At 39.9% G+C, this 20,560-nt stretch overlaps 1 annotated feature.

The window, feature by feature from the left end:
• Positions 9,733-9,792: a silencer, noted in NCBI's record as "silent region_5329". NCBI's record gives its function as "represses an Ori minimal core promoter by ATAC-STARR-seq in GM12878 lymphoblastoid cells {active_cell/tissue: GM12878}" and the evidence as "EXISTENCE:reporter gene assay evidence [ECO:0000049][PMID:35858748]".

The following is a 20,560-nucleotide window of genomic DNA, read 5'->3' as shown; positions in this document are numbered from 1 at the left end:
TTGAGACGGAGTCTCATTCTGTCGCCGAGGCTGGAGTACAGTGGCGTGATCTCGGCTCACTGCAACCTCCTCCTCCTGGGTTCAAGCAATTCTCCTGCCTCAGCCTCCCAAGTAGCTGGGATTACAGGTACCCACCACCATGCCCGGCTACTTTATTTATTTATTGTATTTTAGTATAGACAGTATTTCATCATGTTGGCCAGGCTGGTTTCGAACTCCTGACCTCAAGTGATGCACCCACCTCAACCTCCCAAAGTGCTGGGATTAGAGGCATAAGCCATGGTGCCTGGCCTCTTAAAATTTTTGAAATCAATCTTTGGTGTCTGGAGTAGGCAGGCAGAGACACTGGGCAGGGCACTCCAAGCCCCAGATCATTTCTTCCCCGCTCAGGGCACTCTCTAATCTTCTACCCTTCATGGGAGGATGACCACAGACCCTGAAAAGCCCCTGGACTTGTGCCTTTGGGGTCATCCTGGGGTATCTTGGCCAATCCCATTTGAAGGGAAGAGGGACTGAGAAACAGATCTCTGGATGACTGGCCAGGTATTTCTTTTGTAGGATTAAGATTGAGACCCTAGAATAGTGCTTGACACATTGATTTGAGGTGACTCCAATCACTTTTAGACAGGGGCCCACACACCCTAGGAGTAACAATAGCCTCAGAAGGTTTGGAAAATAATCTTTTTCCCTGACTTCAAATAATGCACATATAAAGCACTGCCCATAGATTAAGGAGAGAGTTACATGGAATTATTGCAGAGAGAGGAAGAAAAAGAGAGATTTGAGGATGAGAGAGAGATTGACTGACGTCTGGTTGATGTAAAATGACTGTGATACGGGCATCATAATGCCCATTATACAGACAACAAAACTGAGGCTTAAAGAACTTAGGTCACTTGCCCTTGCTAACATATCTATCAACCCCTCTCACTGTTACTAAGAAATGACTGGACCAGTATTGCATTCAAGAAGCAAACTCTGAATCAGAAACAGAAACAAAATGTTGCAAAGAGGTACTAAAATGACCAACAGACGTGTCCTACGTCCAGGAACATGACAGACACACCGTCGTTACCATGAGCACTCAAAGACCTACAAATACATGGCTCAGACAGACATCCCAGCAAAGGTCACTTTTACAGCTATATTTGGCAGGGTGTCTATGTGTCAACTCTTTCCTGTTCATATATAAGAACTTGTCCTGGGACCAGAGTGACCTGATTACTATAAAGCTTTTGTATGATGGACCATCAACCAACTGGCCGCCCCACCTGGCCCCCCAAATATGTGTCCCCCCAGTATGTTTTAACTGATGTTATTCTGGATCATTAATGAAATGCATAGTTTATGTCATTTTTACATTGCAGAACCCATACTAATTGCACATGAATTCAAGAAATTACAAGGAATAAGCAAGGGGAGGAAAAGAATTGTTTGAGGGCAAAACCTCAGAGAAATTCTCTAAATAATTATACAAATGGTTTAAACATGGCCTGAGGGGAAAGGGAGCCCTGAGGCTGGAGATAATTTTCCAGGAATCATATAGGGGTCTAATAAAGATTGTGAAATCAGGTTACAAGGAGCTGGAAACTTCTGAGAGGTAATAGTCTTTAAACTATTGCCTAGCCTCCTTAAAAAAAGTGACTCTTGAAACATTCATCACCAAAGTGGGAATAATGCTGTAGGTAGCAATGACTTAGGTTAGGTGACTCCATGGCTCTCTCTTTGCACTCATTTTAAATTCTGCAGAAGCTAGCCACCCTAAACAAACTACAGAATTCATAAAGCATCTTTCAGACCACTGTCACAGCTATTTTCTGCAGCCTGGCGTCCTTTTGCCTTTTTATTCCCTTCCAAGCACAAACCAAAAAAAAAAAAATCGATTACTCATGAATATGTTGCTAAGCAGTTCCCCGCCCCATGTGGTAAGTGTCTCTTGAAGTTACTATGCTGAGTAATTACACTTAATGTAGGTAGGAGAAGAACTAAGACCATTTGTGTTGTAATGATTTAATTATGGGATTTATTTTCCTTTCTCTTACCTAGACATAATATTTATGATTGCTCATAATTCTTCAGATCAGAAGGATCAGCTCTCCTATTCTAGGTTGAACATGGAAAAGAAAACTTCTTGATCCATCTACAATCAAAGCAAATTATTTCAGGCAGTGTGCTTTTTGAACCATTAGTACTAATTAAAAATTTTTTAAAGTTTGAAAATGCCACAGAAATATTTAGGGAACACACACATAGAGATACAACCAGTATCTTGTTTATTTACCCCTACAATTCACTATCTTTGTGTGGTTTAATACTGGTGTTAATTTCCAAAGCTTAAAAGAAAAGAAAACATTCAATATTCTCTGTCTTCCCTTAACAGAAATCTCACTGGAATTGAACATAGCTTGTAACTTGGGATATACATATTTTAGGGTCATAAAATAACATACTGTCAATTTAATATAGCAGAAGACAGTCTAGCTACATACTTGAAACTAGTACAGATAAAAAACATGTTTTTTCTTTTATGTTTATCACAAACTACTCTCCTGATATTTATGGAATCCCATATTATTTGAAGCTAATGTACTCCTCATTATATATAACCCAATATCACTCTTTGGTGAACATAAGAGTAATTAGCACTTCAAAGTTTTATGTTGTTGTTCTTTTATTTTTGACTGGAACATGCAACTTAGAAATGAGAGTTTTACTGCTCTATTCAGTAGAGGAGATTTGTAAGGAGCCATCAGTTACCTAACAGGAAGGAGGAAGAGATGCAGAATGGGAACATTGCAAGGTTGGCCTCACTCACACTCCAGTTCCCCGCCAAATCTACAGTAAATTATCCACTTATCATTAATGTAATGTTGAGCTGCATCAATTTAGGGGATGCACTGAATTTGCCTCAATGACAAATGCAGGGTAAAATCTGAGGCTGCTCATAGCTTCCCTGCTTTACTTGGATTCTGGTGTAAGGTGTTGTAAAACACAACGGTAGAGATATTCACAGGGAATTATGAGAGTGTGCAGAAGGGGCACCTAATCCCTGTAAGTGACAGGTGTTACTAATACATGCAGAAACACACTGGCCAAGGGGTACCTTGAATTGGGCTTTAGAAGTTTGAGAAAGAAAAGTTTTTTTGTTTTTCTTTTTTAATCTAAGATTCATCAAGTCAATGGAAAAAAGGGAGCAGGACAGATGGTAAGTGTGACAAGTAGATAGTTTACTCAGGGTGTCACTTAGTTTTAGTGAGAGGCCCTAAGCATGGAAGTAGGGGTGAAGACTTCACTCTCCCTGTGCACAAGTGCCGAAGGAGTGGCAGGAGTGTGTACCCTGGAGTTGAGTAGACTCACTGCCTTTCTAAAGGGATAGTAGATTCATTTACTATGGCTGAAACTACAGACTAGGTGGCTTACAAAACTGAAATTTATTTCTCACAGCCTGGAATAAAGAATCTGAGACTAAGGTGTTAACAGGGTTGCTTTCTTCTGAGGCCTCTCTTCTTGACTTGCAGATGGTGTCTTCTTCCTGTGTCTTCACATCATCTTCCCTCAGCACCTGTGTCCTAATCTCCTCTTCCTATAAGGACACCAGTCATAGTGGATTAGGGTCCATCCTAATGATCTCATTTTAACTTAATCACATCTTTAAAGACACAATCTCCAAATACGGTCACACTCTGAAGTCATGGGGGTGAGGATTTCAACATGTGAATTTTCAGGGGACACAACTCAGTCTATAACAAACATCCAACTTCTGTCTGAATTTTAAGAGTCTTCGTCCTGAGATTAAACTAGGACCCTCCTGTAAGTGTATATAAATGAACAAGAAGAATAAAGAATAAGTTCTTATGTAGGTTGACTGGTGTGGACAAATTACAGAGAAAATGAAAAGATACATATGCATCTTCAGGAGACAATGAGTAAACCTTGAACAAAGGGCTCAAATCCAACAAAGACAACTCAGACAGAAAGAGACAGGCAAAGAACAGACTTGTGGAGGGCCTTAAATACAAGCCTAAGAAATGTGGGACTAATTAAAGAAAGGTATTGATATGGACAGGAGGCAGGGAAATACTGGGTAGAAGATGGTAGTTCCCTAGCAAAGTCCCCATCCTCAAACCTGGAAACCCATGGACCTAAACGGGAACAGACATTCCTATTTTCGCACCCAAATGTTCCCTTTTGGCCTGCCACGCTCCCCTATTCTGTACCCATATAGACCCCAAACCCCAGGCTCCACAAGCAGACAAGCAGAAGAGAAGAGGAACAGCAGAGCAGCAGAGTGGCAGAGTGGTGCAGCAAAGGAGAGAAGACAAGGAGCATCTGAACATCAAGAGGAGTTCATCTGGGGACAGTTGGAGAGGTGATGGGTCATGGGACAACCGAACTCCAGAGGAAGATCATCTTCCCACTCCGTCCTCTTTCTAGCTCCTCATCCCTCCCACCGAGAGCCACCTCCACCACCCAGTAAAATCCCCTGCATTTACTATCCTTCAATTTGTCCGTGTGACCTGATGCTTCCTGGACACCAGACAACAACCCGGGTACCAAGAGGGCACTAAGCTGGTTAACACTTAAGCTGTCTGTGATGGCAGAGCTAAAAGAGCACTATGGCACATCCACTGGGGCTTTGGGAGTCACAGGCACCCACCCCTAGATGCTACCATGGGGCTGGAGCCCAAAAGCACTTGCCCCAGCTCCTGCACCTGCCCATCTGTGTGATCCCCCTCATGTAAGGGGTTTGAGTGCTCAGCAGCCAAATAGACAAGCCACACCCCTGTTGCATATCCTGCGAAGGGGGTCAGGGAACTCTTCTGTTTCAGTATGACTGTTTTTTAAAATAAAGGAATACCAAGAACAAAACAGTTCTTGAAGCTTAAATTGACAGCTTTATATAGGGTAGATTGGTAGGGGAAAGAAATGATTTCACAAAAAAGAGAAACCAGGTGATGAGAGCTTTGGATAAAATGGCAGCCATGGAAATAGGGAGTGGGGATGGTGGAGGGAAAACTAAAGAGAAAACAAGAGCGAAAAAAGATCAAATTTAATAACAAATTGGAACTGAGGAACTACTGAGAAGGAGGAAGAAAAGATAATGCCAAAATTTAAGCCCGACTTATTCACCACCACTCTTGATAGCAAACAGTGTCTCTATTTTTCCATTTTAAATACCTAATTAAATTGTCACTTAAAAATATGGAACAACAATTTCTCTGTTGTTGAATGTTTACTAACTGATTTGCTTTTGCAAAGCTGTGACTCTTATTTAGTCACAGCTTTTCCCCTCTTTTTACCTCTTTTCCCCTCAGAATGGTCTTTCATTCAGTGAAATGTTAAATTACTCCCAAAAACTTACTAATTAAATTGGCTGTAACTGCCACGATTAAAATGTGATGGCAAACATAAATTGGCCCAAAAGTGACTGCTAATGTCTCACTCATAGAGGACACGCAAATTAATTTTATTGTTTTCAATTTCAAAAACACAGTGCCTTCCACTCCCTCTGTTATCCATCTGTCAGTCACTGCCTGCATAGCCTCCCTTACTAGATCCATGTATGCTGCTACTATAACTCACTTTGTTGGTTCCTGAATTAATAGTGGTTGTGGCAAGAAGTAAACCAACAGCTTTACACTAATTAGTAGGGGTTTAGAGGCTGTCTCACTGCCATAGGTTTAGAGTCTCACGTGCCGAAGGTAAACTTGCAAATCATAGCTTGCTTCACTACTCATCTCCTCCTTCACCCCCTCCTCTGCCATTCTCCTCTGCACATGGGTGCACACACACCCTCTTGTCAAATTGGCCTGATAGCTGCCTGTGAGCATCAGCCTCAGCTTCCCCAGTGAGAACTTTTGTTTATGTCTGATATTTTAACTCTTCCCTAACCTCAGCCCATCTGTTAGGGCCCTTATGCCCTGAACTGTCTCTGATAATTCCCTTCCTTTAAGAGCTAGATCCTTCACTAAATAATCCTAGAGAGTAATTAAGGTCTTCCCATAATCTAACTAGTCCACACCACCCACCTGAACTTCAAGTATTTCCTACCACCTGATAGGGCTTCCAGGCTCCATCTACCAAATTAGACATTCTTAGATGTCAAAACCAAAATGATTTGACCATACTCTTCTGTTACTCCCTTAGGAAGTAGCTCATGTCCCACGTAGACCAACTTACTTCCTCTTTCTTGTGAGTCTTTGTTTCTGAGGTCTCAGTAGGCCTCAGCACTGAGCCCTTATGAATTATGATACTAATCCATCATGGAACTGAAACACAGTTGGTTTCTCCAGCAAAGAAAGAAACTTCACTCCCCACATATCCATTACTCTAGCTTATTCTGAAAGTAGCCACAAAGACATTATGGATAGTCAGATAATCTATATTTTTTTAACTAAGAAAATTAAAACCTTTAGTAACAATCCTGGGAATAATTAGCAATTCTAAAATCCCTGAGTAATCCATAAATTCAATACCTTCAAAATGTAATAACACAGCAGACTTTAGCTAATCAAAGAAGAAACATGCAGCAAACCGCCATGGCACATGTATGTCTATGTAACAAACCTGAGCGCTCTGCACATGTGTCCCAGAAGTTAAATAAAAAAAATAGAAAAATGTTTATGAAATAATATAAAAAATAGTTTTGTATAGCTTCACAATGTGTGTTTTAATCTAAGTGTTATTACAAAAGTGTCAAAAAGTTAAAATTAAAACGTTTATAAAGTAAAAAAGTTACAGTAAGCTAAGGGTAATTTATTATTGAAAAGGGAACATTTTAAAAAATAAATTTGGTGTAGCCTAGGTGTACGGTGTTTATAAAGTATACAGTAGCGTGCAGTAATGTTCTAGGCCTTCACATTCACTCACACTCACTCACTGACTCAACCACAGCAACTTCCAGTCCTGCAGGCTCTGTTCAGGGTAAGCAAAACTTTTAAATCTTTTATGTTGTATTTCTACTGTACCTTTTCTATGTTTAGATACACCATTGCATTACAATTGCCTACAGTATTCAATGTAGTAACATACTATACAGGTGTGTAGCTAGGAGCAATAGGCTATAAAAAAAAAAGAAGAAACAACTCAAATTTTTCATTGTGGAAACATAATTTATTAGTTTCAACACTAGAATCATACAAATCATCAGTAGCTACAATTCTCTAGAATTGTCTTGACTCTACATATCAATTTAAAGCCTTCAGGGTGAAAGATTCTTGAAAAAAAAATAGTTGTCACAAAGTGCCCCCATGCACTTTAGAAGTCTATTTTACTTGGCTTTCCAAATAAGACTTATGTGATGAATCAAACTCATTTGGCTATATATTTTCTCCTTAAGAAGAGGCTGTAATAAAGTGGAAAAACTAGGATTGAGAACAAGAAGACATAATGTATTAACTAGTGTTTCGCCAAAAATGACAAAACCCATGCCAGTTAGTTTAAGCAGAAGGGGATGCTGAAAAAGACAGAATTTTGTCACTAGCAGAATCTGCATGGGTGCTGGAGAACCATACTTGCTTGCTGCACACTTACGTACATTACAGCGCATCATTGCTCATCCAGGAGAGCAGCAAACACTGACGAATGGGGCTAGCAATTCCCGCAGTGTCACCACCTTGTGTTCAGAGTGATCTCACTGGAGAACCAACTTGAGAAGCTCTGCTGCAGCACCCTATGCATTCAGACACCTCCCACAATGCACTTGCTCCTTGGTCACGGCTACTGATGGTTCACGACTGCCTCCAAGTCTTACACTGCTTCATTGGTTTGGTGGAACCTAAGCCACTTGCCTGCATTGTAAACTGAAAAGCAATCTAAGAAATCTGAGAAAGATATTTTTTAGCTTTCCAACCTCTGTGGTAGAGGAAAGCAAAGTAGAAGAAAATTAATGGGTGTTGAGTGAGCCAACCTACAGTACCAGCCACAATCTGTTCCTTTAACTACTCAACCTCCCTTCACACCTTCTTTCTCCCAACTGAACTTCCAAACAACAACAAAGCAAAACAATGCACTCTGTCTAATTTAATGCAACTTTGCCTTACACAAATGGAAACTCTCTTACCTCTTTCCAAAAAGGAGAGATTCATGGTTGTCGTCTTAATCCTTGTGCCTATCTTTGAGTGGCATGCTTTCCTCCTCTACTTCAGACATAATCTTGCCTTGATATTCTATAAGCAATGGACTAAATTATGTATGTGTCCAATGTAAAAGTAGGGGAAAGCATGATAGAAACTAAAACTTTGAGTTTGTAGTTATCTTCCCTTAAGCTCTAGAGCCAGTTGGAAGCAGCTAGCCCACTAGTCAGTATTCTTTCTGCCTCTGTGCTGCACCGTGGGAGCTGTGTCCAAGTCTACCCAAGCTATGCTTTCATAGGCACTTCATTCCAGATGACCTTAAGTGATTGTTTAAATAACTATCTCATACAAGTCAGAATGGCTATTATTAAAAATTCAAAAAACAACAGATGCTGATGAGGCTGCAGAGAAAAGAGAATGCTCATACACTGTTGGTGGGAATATAAATTGGTTCAACCACTGTGGAGAGCAGTTCGGAGATTTCTCAAAGAACTTAGAACTACCATTTCAATCCAGCAATCCCATGACTAGGTATCTACCCAAAGGAAAATAAATTGTTCTACCAATCTTATGTTCATCACAGCACTATTCCCAATAGTAGAGTCATGAAATCAGTGTAGGTGCCCATCAGTGGTGGATTAAGAAAATGTGGTACATATCCACCATGGAATACTACGCAACCATAAAAAGAAGGAAATCATGCCCTTTGCAGAAACATGGATGCAGCTGGAGGCCATTATCCTAAGTGAATTGACACAGAAATAGAAAGTCAAATCCCACATGTTCTCACTTATAAGTGGGAGCTAAACAATGGATACACATGGACATAAAGGTGGGAACAATAGATACCACTGGGGACTCTGGGAAAGAGTTGAAAGACTACCTATTGGGTACTATGTTCACTATTTAGGTAATTAGTCCAATAGAAGCCCAAACCTCAGGATCATGCAATATATCCATGTAACAAACCTACACATGTACCTCCCAAATCTAAAATTATTTTTTAAATAAATAAATAAATAACCATTTCCACACTGCATACCTGTGTCTTCTATTATAATTACTAAGGGATCCTCATTGCCTCCAAGAATGTCAAATCACCAATTCCAGATTCCCTCTTTCCGGAACTACAATTGTGGTACCAATTACTAAGTTGACCTCAGGATTTGCATATTGATTCTTCCCACTTCTCAGCTCTGTAATCTGGTGCAAGTTTGTCACCAATAAAATGAAAATAGTAATATGGTTCTTTTGATGATTAAAAGTATGTAAAAATGCCTGGTAGGTGCTTAACATATGTGAAATGAAATTTACCTAATGGGTTATCAAAATAATTGTTTTTGGTACAGAATAACATAGAACAAGAAGGGCAGTCAACAGGAGACTAGAGTGAGGTATGAGGAATCCAGTGACAGAGGTTACAAAAGGATGTTCCTGAGGGAGTTGAGTGAGAGACTTCATGTGGAAGAGCACATTCCACCCAGTGGAAAGGAAGCCAAGCCTCACACATTTCAGAAGCCCTTAGAGGATCCATTTTATAGCACTGTGCAATGGCTACAATAGCCAGTCTTCTTGAGGCATTGTAGCACAGGGGAAACAGGCTGGCCCCCTGGAGTCAGAAACATGTAAATGCAAATCCCAGCTCTGCACATTAGTAGCTTTGTGACCACGGGCAGATAACTCACATACAGTTTCCTCATCTGTACGTTATGGACATTTTAGCAAAGCTGCCTGACAGTTTTAAGATGAGAGGTGATGTACCCAAGACATAATGCCCAGCGTGTGGTGTATGCTCAGAGCAGTACATATTAATATTCCTACATTCCAGGAACCATGTTAAATATTTTACATGCCTTATCTTATAAAATCCTAAGACAATTCTGCATCATGGTTTATTATTATCATGTCTGCTTTACAGATGATAAAACTGAGGCTTAGAAAAGCTAAGTAACTTGCCCACAATATCAGTAAGTGGTAGAATGAAGATTCGCACACAAGTGATCTTGCTCTAGACCTCGTAATTTTTCATCTCTATGTCCTCCAAATAAGGGCAGCTATAGGAACTGGCATATATATCTCAATCTCGCTCCCAATCATCACCTAAAGTATTTACTTAATATTCTTTAAACAGTAAAGATGGAAGTATATAAAGAATTTTCAAAAATTTTTGTCAATACTAGGTACAATATAAATATTTCTAGGCAAAAAGATAGGGCCTCACTTACCAGGGAACAAAAGCCATGAATCCAAGATGCTTGATTATCTGGGAAGACTAAGGAATACCTAAGAAAAAAAGACAATATGACAGGGCACGAGATTATAGCAGATCAGCTCCATAGTGAATCAGCAGACACCTCAAAGCAGAATGAAATTTCACATCAGTGTTTTCTAAATCCAGAGTTTTAGCAAAATATAAAGATGATGGTCCCCAGAGTTCATCACGGTTGAAGAACCAGAGAGAAAGAGCAGACAGGGAGCTGTTTGGGGACCCAGAGAGATAGGACAACCCGTTCATGGAATCTCTTCACAGCAAATCAAGTCATTCCAGGGATGTGGTGCTCAGCACAGGGGCGAGGCAATACTTGAATCGTGGTTCTTTCTGCCAGGAGCACTGAGGCTGAAGCTGTTAATAGAAACACCTCCGATGAGGGCTCTGTAAATCTAGCTCCCAACTGCAACTCTTTCAGTGGTGCAACACTGAGCCAGTGGCTATACATCTTTGCCTTCAAGGCCTGCATGGCTTCCAGGGTAGATGATCCCCTACAAGACGAGGTACACAATAATCCAGGTCAGGGCAATTAGCCCAAAGTCACGCATATAGGCAGGGGCTACAAAGTAGTGAAATTGAAGCTGGCCCTTTAAACCAGGCAGGGAAAAACCTCTGGCAAACTGCAAAATTTGTGAGGAAGATGACCTTCTCCTGGCTTATGCCTGGAATTAATTTGAAGACAGTAAGACTATAAATCAATTTTAAATAGGTTATGAATAGTCAGATTGAAGAAAAAAATCAAATGTTCTTGCATGAAAGTTTACTCTATTTTAGATCAAAGGGCAGACACTGAGAATATAGAGGGGGGAAGAAGCCCTGGAGGAAAAAAAAAAAGTCCATTTGTAAAATATATTGTTTTGGAGGGAAAGAGTCACTGTATTCATCTCCCTTATTATCTTATTCTTCAAAGTCCTTCACTATACTTTGCGATATTTTCCACCTCTGACCTTGGTGCTTTGATCCCCAGATTCCTGGGGGGTGAGTTGAAGCAAGCACTGAAGTTGAGCTCAGCAAGTCTGATTCCAGCCCTGGCTCTGCCACATACTGCCTGAGTGTGGGAGACTTGGAGATGAACTGCCCAGTTCTCCTTCAAGGAAAGCCTTGCCACCTAGCTGCTGAGGGTACTGTCAGCAGACAGCCATCAGCTATCAACTGCAGAGAACCACCTCATGCTAAACTCCTGATAAAACCCTGTAATTGATTCCATTTTATATTGAGATGAAGACAAAATTCCTTCTTGTGGCCTAGAAGTCCTTATTGAATATGTCATCTAGCTCTCACTCCAACCTCATCTCTAAAGGTTCTGTCCCTAACCCCCTTTACTTCAGCACCACCTGAAGCTCCTTCTTGCCCCAGGACCTTTGCATATGAGGCTCCTTCTTTCTGGAAACTCTTGTTACTCCTCTTCGCTTCTTCATTCCTCAGGTTTTCTAGATCCCACTGAGTAGGTCAAATCCTTTCCTTATAAGCATGCCAATATCTTATCTCTCTTCTTTGTAGTAATCGCCATTGTTGCAATTTCGTGTAACATTATTTGATGAATATCCACCTCTTCTACCAGACTATAAATGCCCTAAGAATAGAGGAGTTCAACTGTATTCATTTATCCCCAGCACCTATCAGTGTTGCATACAAAGTACTTGTTAAATGAATGATTGAATTGAAACACTAGCAGTTTCCAGACCAACAATTTGGGAGTATTTTGGTGGTAGTTATCAGTGTTACTGATATATTGTTTTCCTTTCCCTTTTTCATGGACTGAATGTTTATGTTTCCCCAAAATTCATGTATTAAATCCTAACCCCCAGTGTGATGGTATTATTGATAGAAGGTGGGCATTTTGGAGATACTTGGGTCATGAGGGTAGAGTTCTCATGAATGGGATTAGTGCCCTCATAAGACAACACACAGGAGCTTGTTCGCTTTCTCTGCCATATAAAGACACAGTAAGAAAATGGCCATCAGCAAGCCAAGAATTGGGATTTCACCAGAACCCAATCACACAGTCATCCTGATCTTGGACTCCTCAGTCTCCAGAACTCCAAGAAAAAAATGTTTAAGTGATCCAGTCTGTGGTATTTGGTACAGTAGCCTGAGCTAAGACATCCTCTGAGCACATTGTGCTGTTCTTATGGTTAGATGATGACATATGACTAGTTCTAGCCTTATGTTATAAATGGGTAGAGCATTTGAATTGTCAGTGAAGACTAAGTATTCTTTTTCCTTTTTTGATTCCTGTAGTGATTCTGGAATTACGTGTTGAAAAGAGCTATCACAGCCTTAGTCATTGAGTGAGGATAGCAGAGAGCAGAGACTCCAGGCAACGTAGGTGAGAAATAGCCCATTACTTTTTGAGCAATGAGATTTTAGCATTGTTGCAGCAACATAACCTAGCCAACCCTGAATGCAGCAGAAAATGTTACTAGGAAGATGGTAATCCATATCATACAATGGTGACACACTTGATAAAAATTATTTACCTATGATAATTTGGAAAGCAGATAATATACTTAGTGAACTTTTATCTCTAGTAGAAGTAGTTTGGAATCAGAAGAGTCATATGTGCTCACTGCTATTGGCTTCATTTGACAAGGTGTGTTAGTTTCCTAGAGCTACCATAACAAACTACCACAAGCTTGGTGGCTTAAACAACAGAAATTTATTATCTCATGGGTCCAGAGGTTAGCAATCTGGGATCAAGGTGTCTGCAGTGTTGGTTCCTTCTGAGGCCTGTGGAGGAGAATCTGTTCCATGCCTGTCTCCTACCTCCTGGTGGTTTGCTGGCAATATTTGGGATTCCTTGGCTTGTAGATGCATCACCTCTTTCTCTGCCTTCGTCTTCACATGGTGTTCTGTCTCTGTACACATGCCTGTCTCTGTGTCCAAGTTTCCCCTTTTTTATAAGAATGCCAGCCATAGGCCAGGCGCAGTGGCTCACGCCTGTAATCCCAGCACTTTGGGATGCTGAGGTGGGCAGAGCACAAGACCAAGAGAACAAGACCATCCTGGCCAACATGGTGAAACCCTGTCTCTACTAAATATACAAAAATGAGCTGGGCATGGTGGCGTGTACCTGTAGTCCCAGCTACTTGGGAGGCTGAGGCAGGAGAATCACTTGAACCCTGGAGGCAGAGGTTGCAGTGAGCCAAGATCACACCACTGCATTCCAGCCTGGTGACAGAATGAGACTCTGCCTCAAAAAAAAAAAAAGAATAACAACCATATTAGATTAGGACCCGTCCTACTGATCTCATTTAAAATTGATTACCTCTGTAAAGATCTATCTCCAAATAAGGTCATATTCTGAAGTACTGGGAGTTAGGACTTCAACATACCTTTTTTGGGAGGATAATTTAACCTGTGACACTTGATATTACAAGAAAGAGATGAAACTGGGAACGAATTAGTCACATTGCAAGCAAAAATGTAAGGGAATAGAGTCCACAAATGCAGGAGCTTCTAAGTTAGGAAGAGACGGCCGGCTCCCAAGCCCAAAGTGTAAAGAAATGTCTTGAATAACAAATGCCAATTAAAACTCTCACCACAGCAAGAATTAAATGAAGGGATTAGCTGCCTCACCCACAGTCAAAAATCTCTGAATGGATTTCACTGGCACCCAGAAATTGCGTCAGTTGGAAGAAAATGGTGCAGCAAAAAATAGACTAAATAAATGGTTCTGCCAAAGAAGCCTGATAAGCCCAGAGTATCCACAATTAAGTAACGGACAGGAATGGGGTACAAAATAAGACATGTGTAACAAATCTAGAAAAATGTCTAGGAAAGAACTATGGGTGTGGTTACTGGCACATGTTAGTGTCTGAATTAAAATAAATAAAAAGCTAAGTTATTGGGAGAACTGAATTGCCAAAAAAATAATTAAAGACTATGAAACCTATAAAGAACTTAGGAGTCCCAAACATCTACGGGCAAGAAGTAAGCTGAGAAAGCTACTAACAGCATAAGAGACTACATTCCCAATGCCTACTTCATATGGAACCAAAGAGGATATTAGAACAACAAGAACCTCCAGAGGGTAAAGCCAAGGGCTATGGGGATGAGTAGAGTGGGAGCTGCACCCAGGAAGTATAATCAGTAATAGCCTCTATCTCCTGATTTACACCCACACCTGATGTACAGGCCACTGCCATCCCCTACCTCTGGTTGGAGTCTACTAAGCATCATGCAAGAGATCTCAGACTTTGAGCCTGATGCCATGACTAAATGGGATTTTTGGGTTGTGATCCTCAGGGAGGGGTGACTATACCTCATATACAGGTAGGAAAGCAAGCAAAATTATTTAAAAATATGGGCAGAATGCAAAAGTTACTGATGCTGCTGATATCCGATTACCATTTCTTCTAGGCAAATGGAAAACAATTTCCTGGCTCTTTTTTGTGAAGGTGGGGCCATGATACCAGTGAGCAAAAGTGATGTGCTCATTTCCAGGCTAAGTATTGGTTTGCTGGTGTAAGACCCTCTAAAGTTCTTTTCCTGCTTCTCACACTATGCTGATCCTGGAAACTCATGGTAAGCTGAGAGACACCCATGAGACTGAGTTCCTGAGTGAGAATAACACAGAGCAGAACACCCAAACCAACTCGGGATGAACATGTAGCTTGAGAAATAAAAAAATTGCTTTAAAAATAAGAGATTTTACTCTTACCGTATAATCCAGGAATTGTGCTCCTTGGTATATACCCAAAGGAGTTGAAAATGCACTTCTACACAAAAACAAGCATGCAAGTGTTTATAACAGCTTTAATCATAATTGCTGAAGCAATCAAGATTTTCTTCAATAGGTAGATGGATCAACTGCAGAACATCCATGTAATGAAATAGTATTCAGCACTAAAGAAATGAGCTATGAAACCATGAAAAGACATGGAGGATTGGTTCTTAAAAAAAAAAATTTGACGTCTGTTACTGAAGCATAACCTACCCACCCTATTATAACTCATACGGCACTAAGAAATCATTTAATTGACAAAATAACCTCACAAAGAAGGAAAAACAATGTATGTGAATTTGTAATAGGCAAAGCTCAAATGTATAGCATCTACTTTTTAGTTCAGAAGGAGTACTTGAATACAAAAAAAAGTTATAAGTAAATAGTGTAACAGTAGTTAGTTTTCCAAGTGAAAGGGCTCTGAAAATTAATATAGTCCACATTTTAAAAAAAACTTTCATAACTCTTTTTTTAACCTATATTGGATGGATACGTTTTGAAGATCTAAGGTACAGCACGGTAACTATATTTATATGATACTGTATTGTATACTTGAAATTTGCTAAGTGAGTAGATCTCAAATGTTCTCATCACACACACAAGGTAACTATAAGAAGCTGTAGAAATGTTGATTAGTTTGATTTTTATAATCATTTCATACTGTGTACACATCAAAACATCATATTGTATACCTTAATTCTTATTTTGTTAACTATACCTCAAAGCTGAAAAGTAAAAAGCACTTGAACTAAACTTGATCTTTTATGTATCACAAAAATACAGGCTCAATTAGCCCCAGTAAGTCATCATTTGTTTTTACATAAATTACAATGAGTCAGCCAGCTGTGCTGTCTCAAGCCTGTAATCCCAGCACTTTGGGAGGCCGAGGCAGGCGGATCACTTGAGGTCAGGAGACTAGCCTGGCTGACATGGCGAAACCCCATCTCTTCTAAAAATACAAAAACTAGCTGGGCATGGTGGCACACACTTATAATCCCAGCTACTTGGGAGGCTGACGCAGGAGAATCCCTTGTACCCGGGAGGTGAAGTTTGCGGTGAGCCGAGATCATGCCACTGCACCCCAGCCTAGGTAATAAGGCAAGACTCCATCTCAAAAGAAAAAAAAAATTACAATGAATCATTTCAACTCTTGAAATTTTCATGAATCTAAGCCAATATTTCTCAAGGAGTATGGATCAATTGTATTACAAGAATCTGAAGTATTTGTTAAAAATGCAGATGCCCAGGCTCCATCCAGCTTCACTGACTCAGAATCTTTACAGATTGGGACCCAGGAATCAAAAGTTTATCCTGTGTCCAGGTTTGAGAATCACTGACCTAGGTTCTGTATAAAATTATAAGGCTCCATATAATAAGCCTTTAAGATGCTAGTTTAAGATATCAAATAAGCACATAAGCATTGCATTCACAATTAGTGTAACATAAATTTACACCCAGAATAACATATCTGAGGCCTTTTCAGGACTCCATCATGCTTCTAACCTTTGAGCTGTAGTGAGCTGCATGATTGTTGTATAATAAAGTGGCTCAGAGTAAGGCTTAATAACAGAATGAAGTTCAAGTAAAAACATCTTAAATGGATTTCCATTTTTCCTAATGCAAAATTTAGCTAATTCTGAGTTCGAATTGTCCTCCTACTGCCCACGTTTCCCACAGGAAGTGGACAGTATAACTTGAGGTGATGAAGCTTTGCAGTTAAGAAACTGATGGGAAACATAACAAATTTCAAGATGTTTAAGTGGTTCTTTGGGGGAGAACTCACTGTCATGAAGAATGCAAATGAAAACAGAATAATAAAATGCATGTGGAACTATTTATCTGTTTGTTCCTAAGAATAAGAGATTTTTTTATTCTTGGTATTTCTCCTGGTAATTTTTATTCCATAACTCACATTTCTGGTTTTTTTAAATGAATTTATCAACCAAATGTGATTAGGTACAGGCATGTTTTGTATCTGCAGAATCCAGGAACAACCTCTACCATTCTTATAAATCAAAGATTGGTGAGCTATCAGTACTATGGTCTGAGTATAGGGAAATTCAACTAATACATTTTGTATAAAACCAACCAGAGGCAGGAATAGGCTGTTTATAATTTAAAGAGATTCATTCAACCTATACTGACCTTTCCTTCTCTATGATATTTAAATTCACATACAACACACTTGATACTTCTCTAATAGTTACATATCTGTTAGTTTTTCTCCCCAAATTATTCAATGTTTTTGAGAGGAAACAGAATTGTTTGAACTACATTTAATGAACAAATACATTTCTCTCAAAAGACTATCAGTGCCAGGCATGGTGGCTCACACCTATAATCTCAGCACTTTGGGAGGTCGAGATGGGGAGATCACTTGAGATCAGGAGTTCGAGACCAGCCTGGCCAACATGGCAAAAACCCCTCTCTACTAAAAATACAAAAATTATCCAGGCTTAGTGGCACACACCTGTAATCACAGCTACTCGGGAGGCTGAGGCAGGAGAATCGCTTAAACCCGGGAGGCAGAGGTTGCAGTGAGCTGAGATCATGCCAATGCACTCCAGCCCGGGAGACAGAGTGAGACTGTCTCAAAAAAAAAAAATGTTTATTGAAGTTCCGATGAAAATTAATTTGGAGTAATTGAGGCAATAGAGTGAGACTCTGTCTCAAAAAAAAAGAACATTAAAATTAATTTCATACTAATTAAATCTAATGTACAAACTAAACTTAGTTTCACCTCTAATTTAGTCTTTACATATATGATTCCCAAGAAAAATACCACAGGTTACAGAAATCCAACTATTTCAGTTTCAAAGGGGGAAAAATAAGCTATTATATGACAAGCTAGTCAACAGATTCCTAAATCAGCCAGTTATTACTGATGTTATTCTTTTCAAGGGAAAGTAGACTATGCCAAAATTTTCAAAAATACAAATGTATATTTAATCCAAAATAACACTGCAATGACAATGATCTCAGTACCTCAGGATATACTCAGTAAATAAACACTTTCTGGCTGATGAATAGGTGCAGAGGTCAATAATGTGCTCCTAACAGGACTGCTCTTACATGAAAGGCATGATTCACAAGAGGAAGTTCCTGTTACTACACCCCAAAGGGTTCTCAAGGCCTGAATGCCTTCCTAGAGATACTTGTGTTTGCATGCCAAGCCATCACATAAAACTGAAAGCACAGAAAAGGTCTCACAGGTGTCTTAAAGATACAAGTACAGCAGGACAGCAGAGGTGTAGTGAGCTGGTAGCTGGACTCGGGATCTGGAAGATGGAAACAAAGAGTATAGGGTATGCCATAGGTCTCAATATTATAATGTTGGACAAAAGCCTGTGGTTGAAAAGATAATGAACATGCAGTTTAGTGACCAAAATAAGGGAGTGAATGTACGGAAAAACATTTTTCACAATGCCTACCTTACAGCATGTGCATGATAGGTGGTTTTTTAATGATTTTGTAGTATATGGGATCAGAAGCCCTGTCTGCAAAACTCCATACAAGGTCCCTCTCTCCCTGCCCATGACTACCAGCCACATTCTGAAAGGAATGGGTATGATGACCTGCAGGGGGATCGATGCCAGATACTAACAAATTATACCCCAGTGAAAATTCAGCAGAAGAGAGGAGTTCAAGATGGGAAAATCCCTTCTCATTTGGACCCACTTGGTCTCTGCAAAAAGCCATTCCTGCCACCAGCACCCAGTGGGCTGTGCTGTTCATGGGGGATACACAGCCTGGTGCTAAATGGAGCGCTGCTGCTAAAATCAGCTTATCACAGCTCTGCTCTTTTCTTCTTTTGACCAAGCTTGCATCACAGGGACCACAACAAAGAAAGGGCTTCCTGCATTTTGCAGAAGTGAAAAAAGATCAAAGATTCAGTCTGGGACAGACCTGAGAAGTTCAGTGGCCACATATACAAAGCCAAAATCGATGTACAGTCAGAGAAGGGAACCTCAGATTTGAGATTGAGACTGTGATGAAAAGTCCAGGCAATCAATCTAGGTCTGATAAATCAGTTTCCTAATTTTACAGACAGGAAAACCATATTTGAGAACTATTCCCACGTGCCTTCACCAGCCAGTAAAAGAGGGACAAGAACCCTACCTACCAGGGCCCAGTGCCAACATCTGTTCTGCCACAGTGCTATTCCTCAGAACAAGGGTTAGTGAACACACCTGGCTAGGGATGCTAAGGGCTAAGGCAAGTTCTGGTGAAGCTTCCCTGAACTTCCTGTTCCAAAACCAATCACCCTCCTCCATCCATGTAAAAGGGAAGGACACCTATTTCTAATTTCAGACCTAGCTCCCTCTATACTTTTACTCACCCCTTCTTACTGCCTTACACCAGGGAAACCCTATATTGCATAGATACACATCTATATATAATGTTGTAATTATTATTCTATGTCTTTTCAAAAGCAAAGATAATTTGTTTTAAAAAGGCAAAACTATGGAGACAGTACAAAAGCTCAGAGGTAGCTGGGGTTTGGGGATAGGGAGGAAGGAATAGGCAGAGCACAGAGGATTTTTAAGGCAGTGAAAATACTCTGTATGATACTTTAATGGTGAACACATGACATTATACATTTATTCAAACCCATAGAATGTACAACAGCAAGAGTGAGCCCTAATATAAACTGTGAACTTTGAGTGATGATAGCGATATGTCAATGTATGTTCATTGATTGTAACAAATGTACCACACGGGTGGGGGGTGTTGATAATGGAGGAGGCCAGCAGGGGAGGGCAGTGGGTATATGGGATGTCTTTGTACCTTCTTCTCAATATTGCTGTAAATCTAAAACTGCTTGAAAAAAGTAATCATCCACATTATGAACACTAATATCATGAATCACTGAAAAACTCACAGGTTTTCCTAAACCAGGGGCTTCAATAAATCAGTTCGCATTTAACATATCTATCTTCAGGTCCAAAATTTAACATGGTTCATTTGTTTATTTTCTACCTTTCACAGGAATTTGGTACAGATAGGTGGGAGGAGCAACAGATGATGGCAGTTCCATTGGATACTATATTCTTTTTAAAAAAGAAAGTAGTAGAAAATACTTAACATAAAATCTAGCCTTTTAGCAAATCTCAGTGTACAGACAGAACGGTGTGGTTTACTATATGCACATTGTTGTAGGGCAGTTCTCTTGAACTTATTCATTTTGGATGACTGCAACTCTGTATCCATTGAACAGCAATTCCCCATTCTCCCCACTCCTGGAAACCATCACTCTACTTTCTGCTTCTATAAGTTTGACTGTTCTAGAAACCTCATCTAAGTGGAATCATGCAATATTTGGCCTTTTGTGGCTCACTTATGTCACATAGCGTAAAACCCACAAGATTCATCCATATAGCGTGGGACAGAATTTCCTTAAGACTAAATAATATTCTATTATGTGTTTCTATTTCACATATTCTCAATCCATTCATCCACTTACAAACATGTAAGTTGTTTCCACCTCTT

Source organism: Homo sapiens, chromosome 13 (assembly GCF_000001405.40).
Source record: "Homo sapiens chromosome 13, GRCh38.p14 Primary Assembly".
Classification (NCBI taxonomy): domain Eukaryota; kingdom Metazoa; phylum Chordata; class Mammalia; order Primates; family Hominidae; genus Homo; species Homo sapiens.
This window is presented reverse-complemented; position numbering and strand designations above follow the sequence as displayed.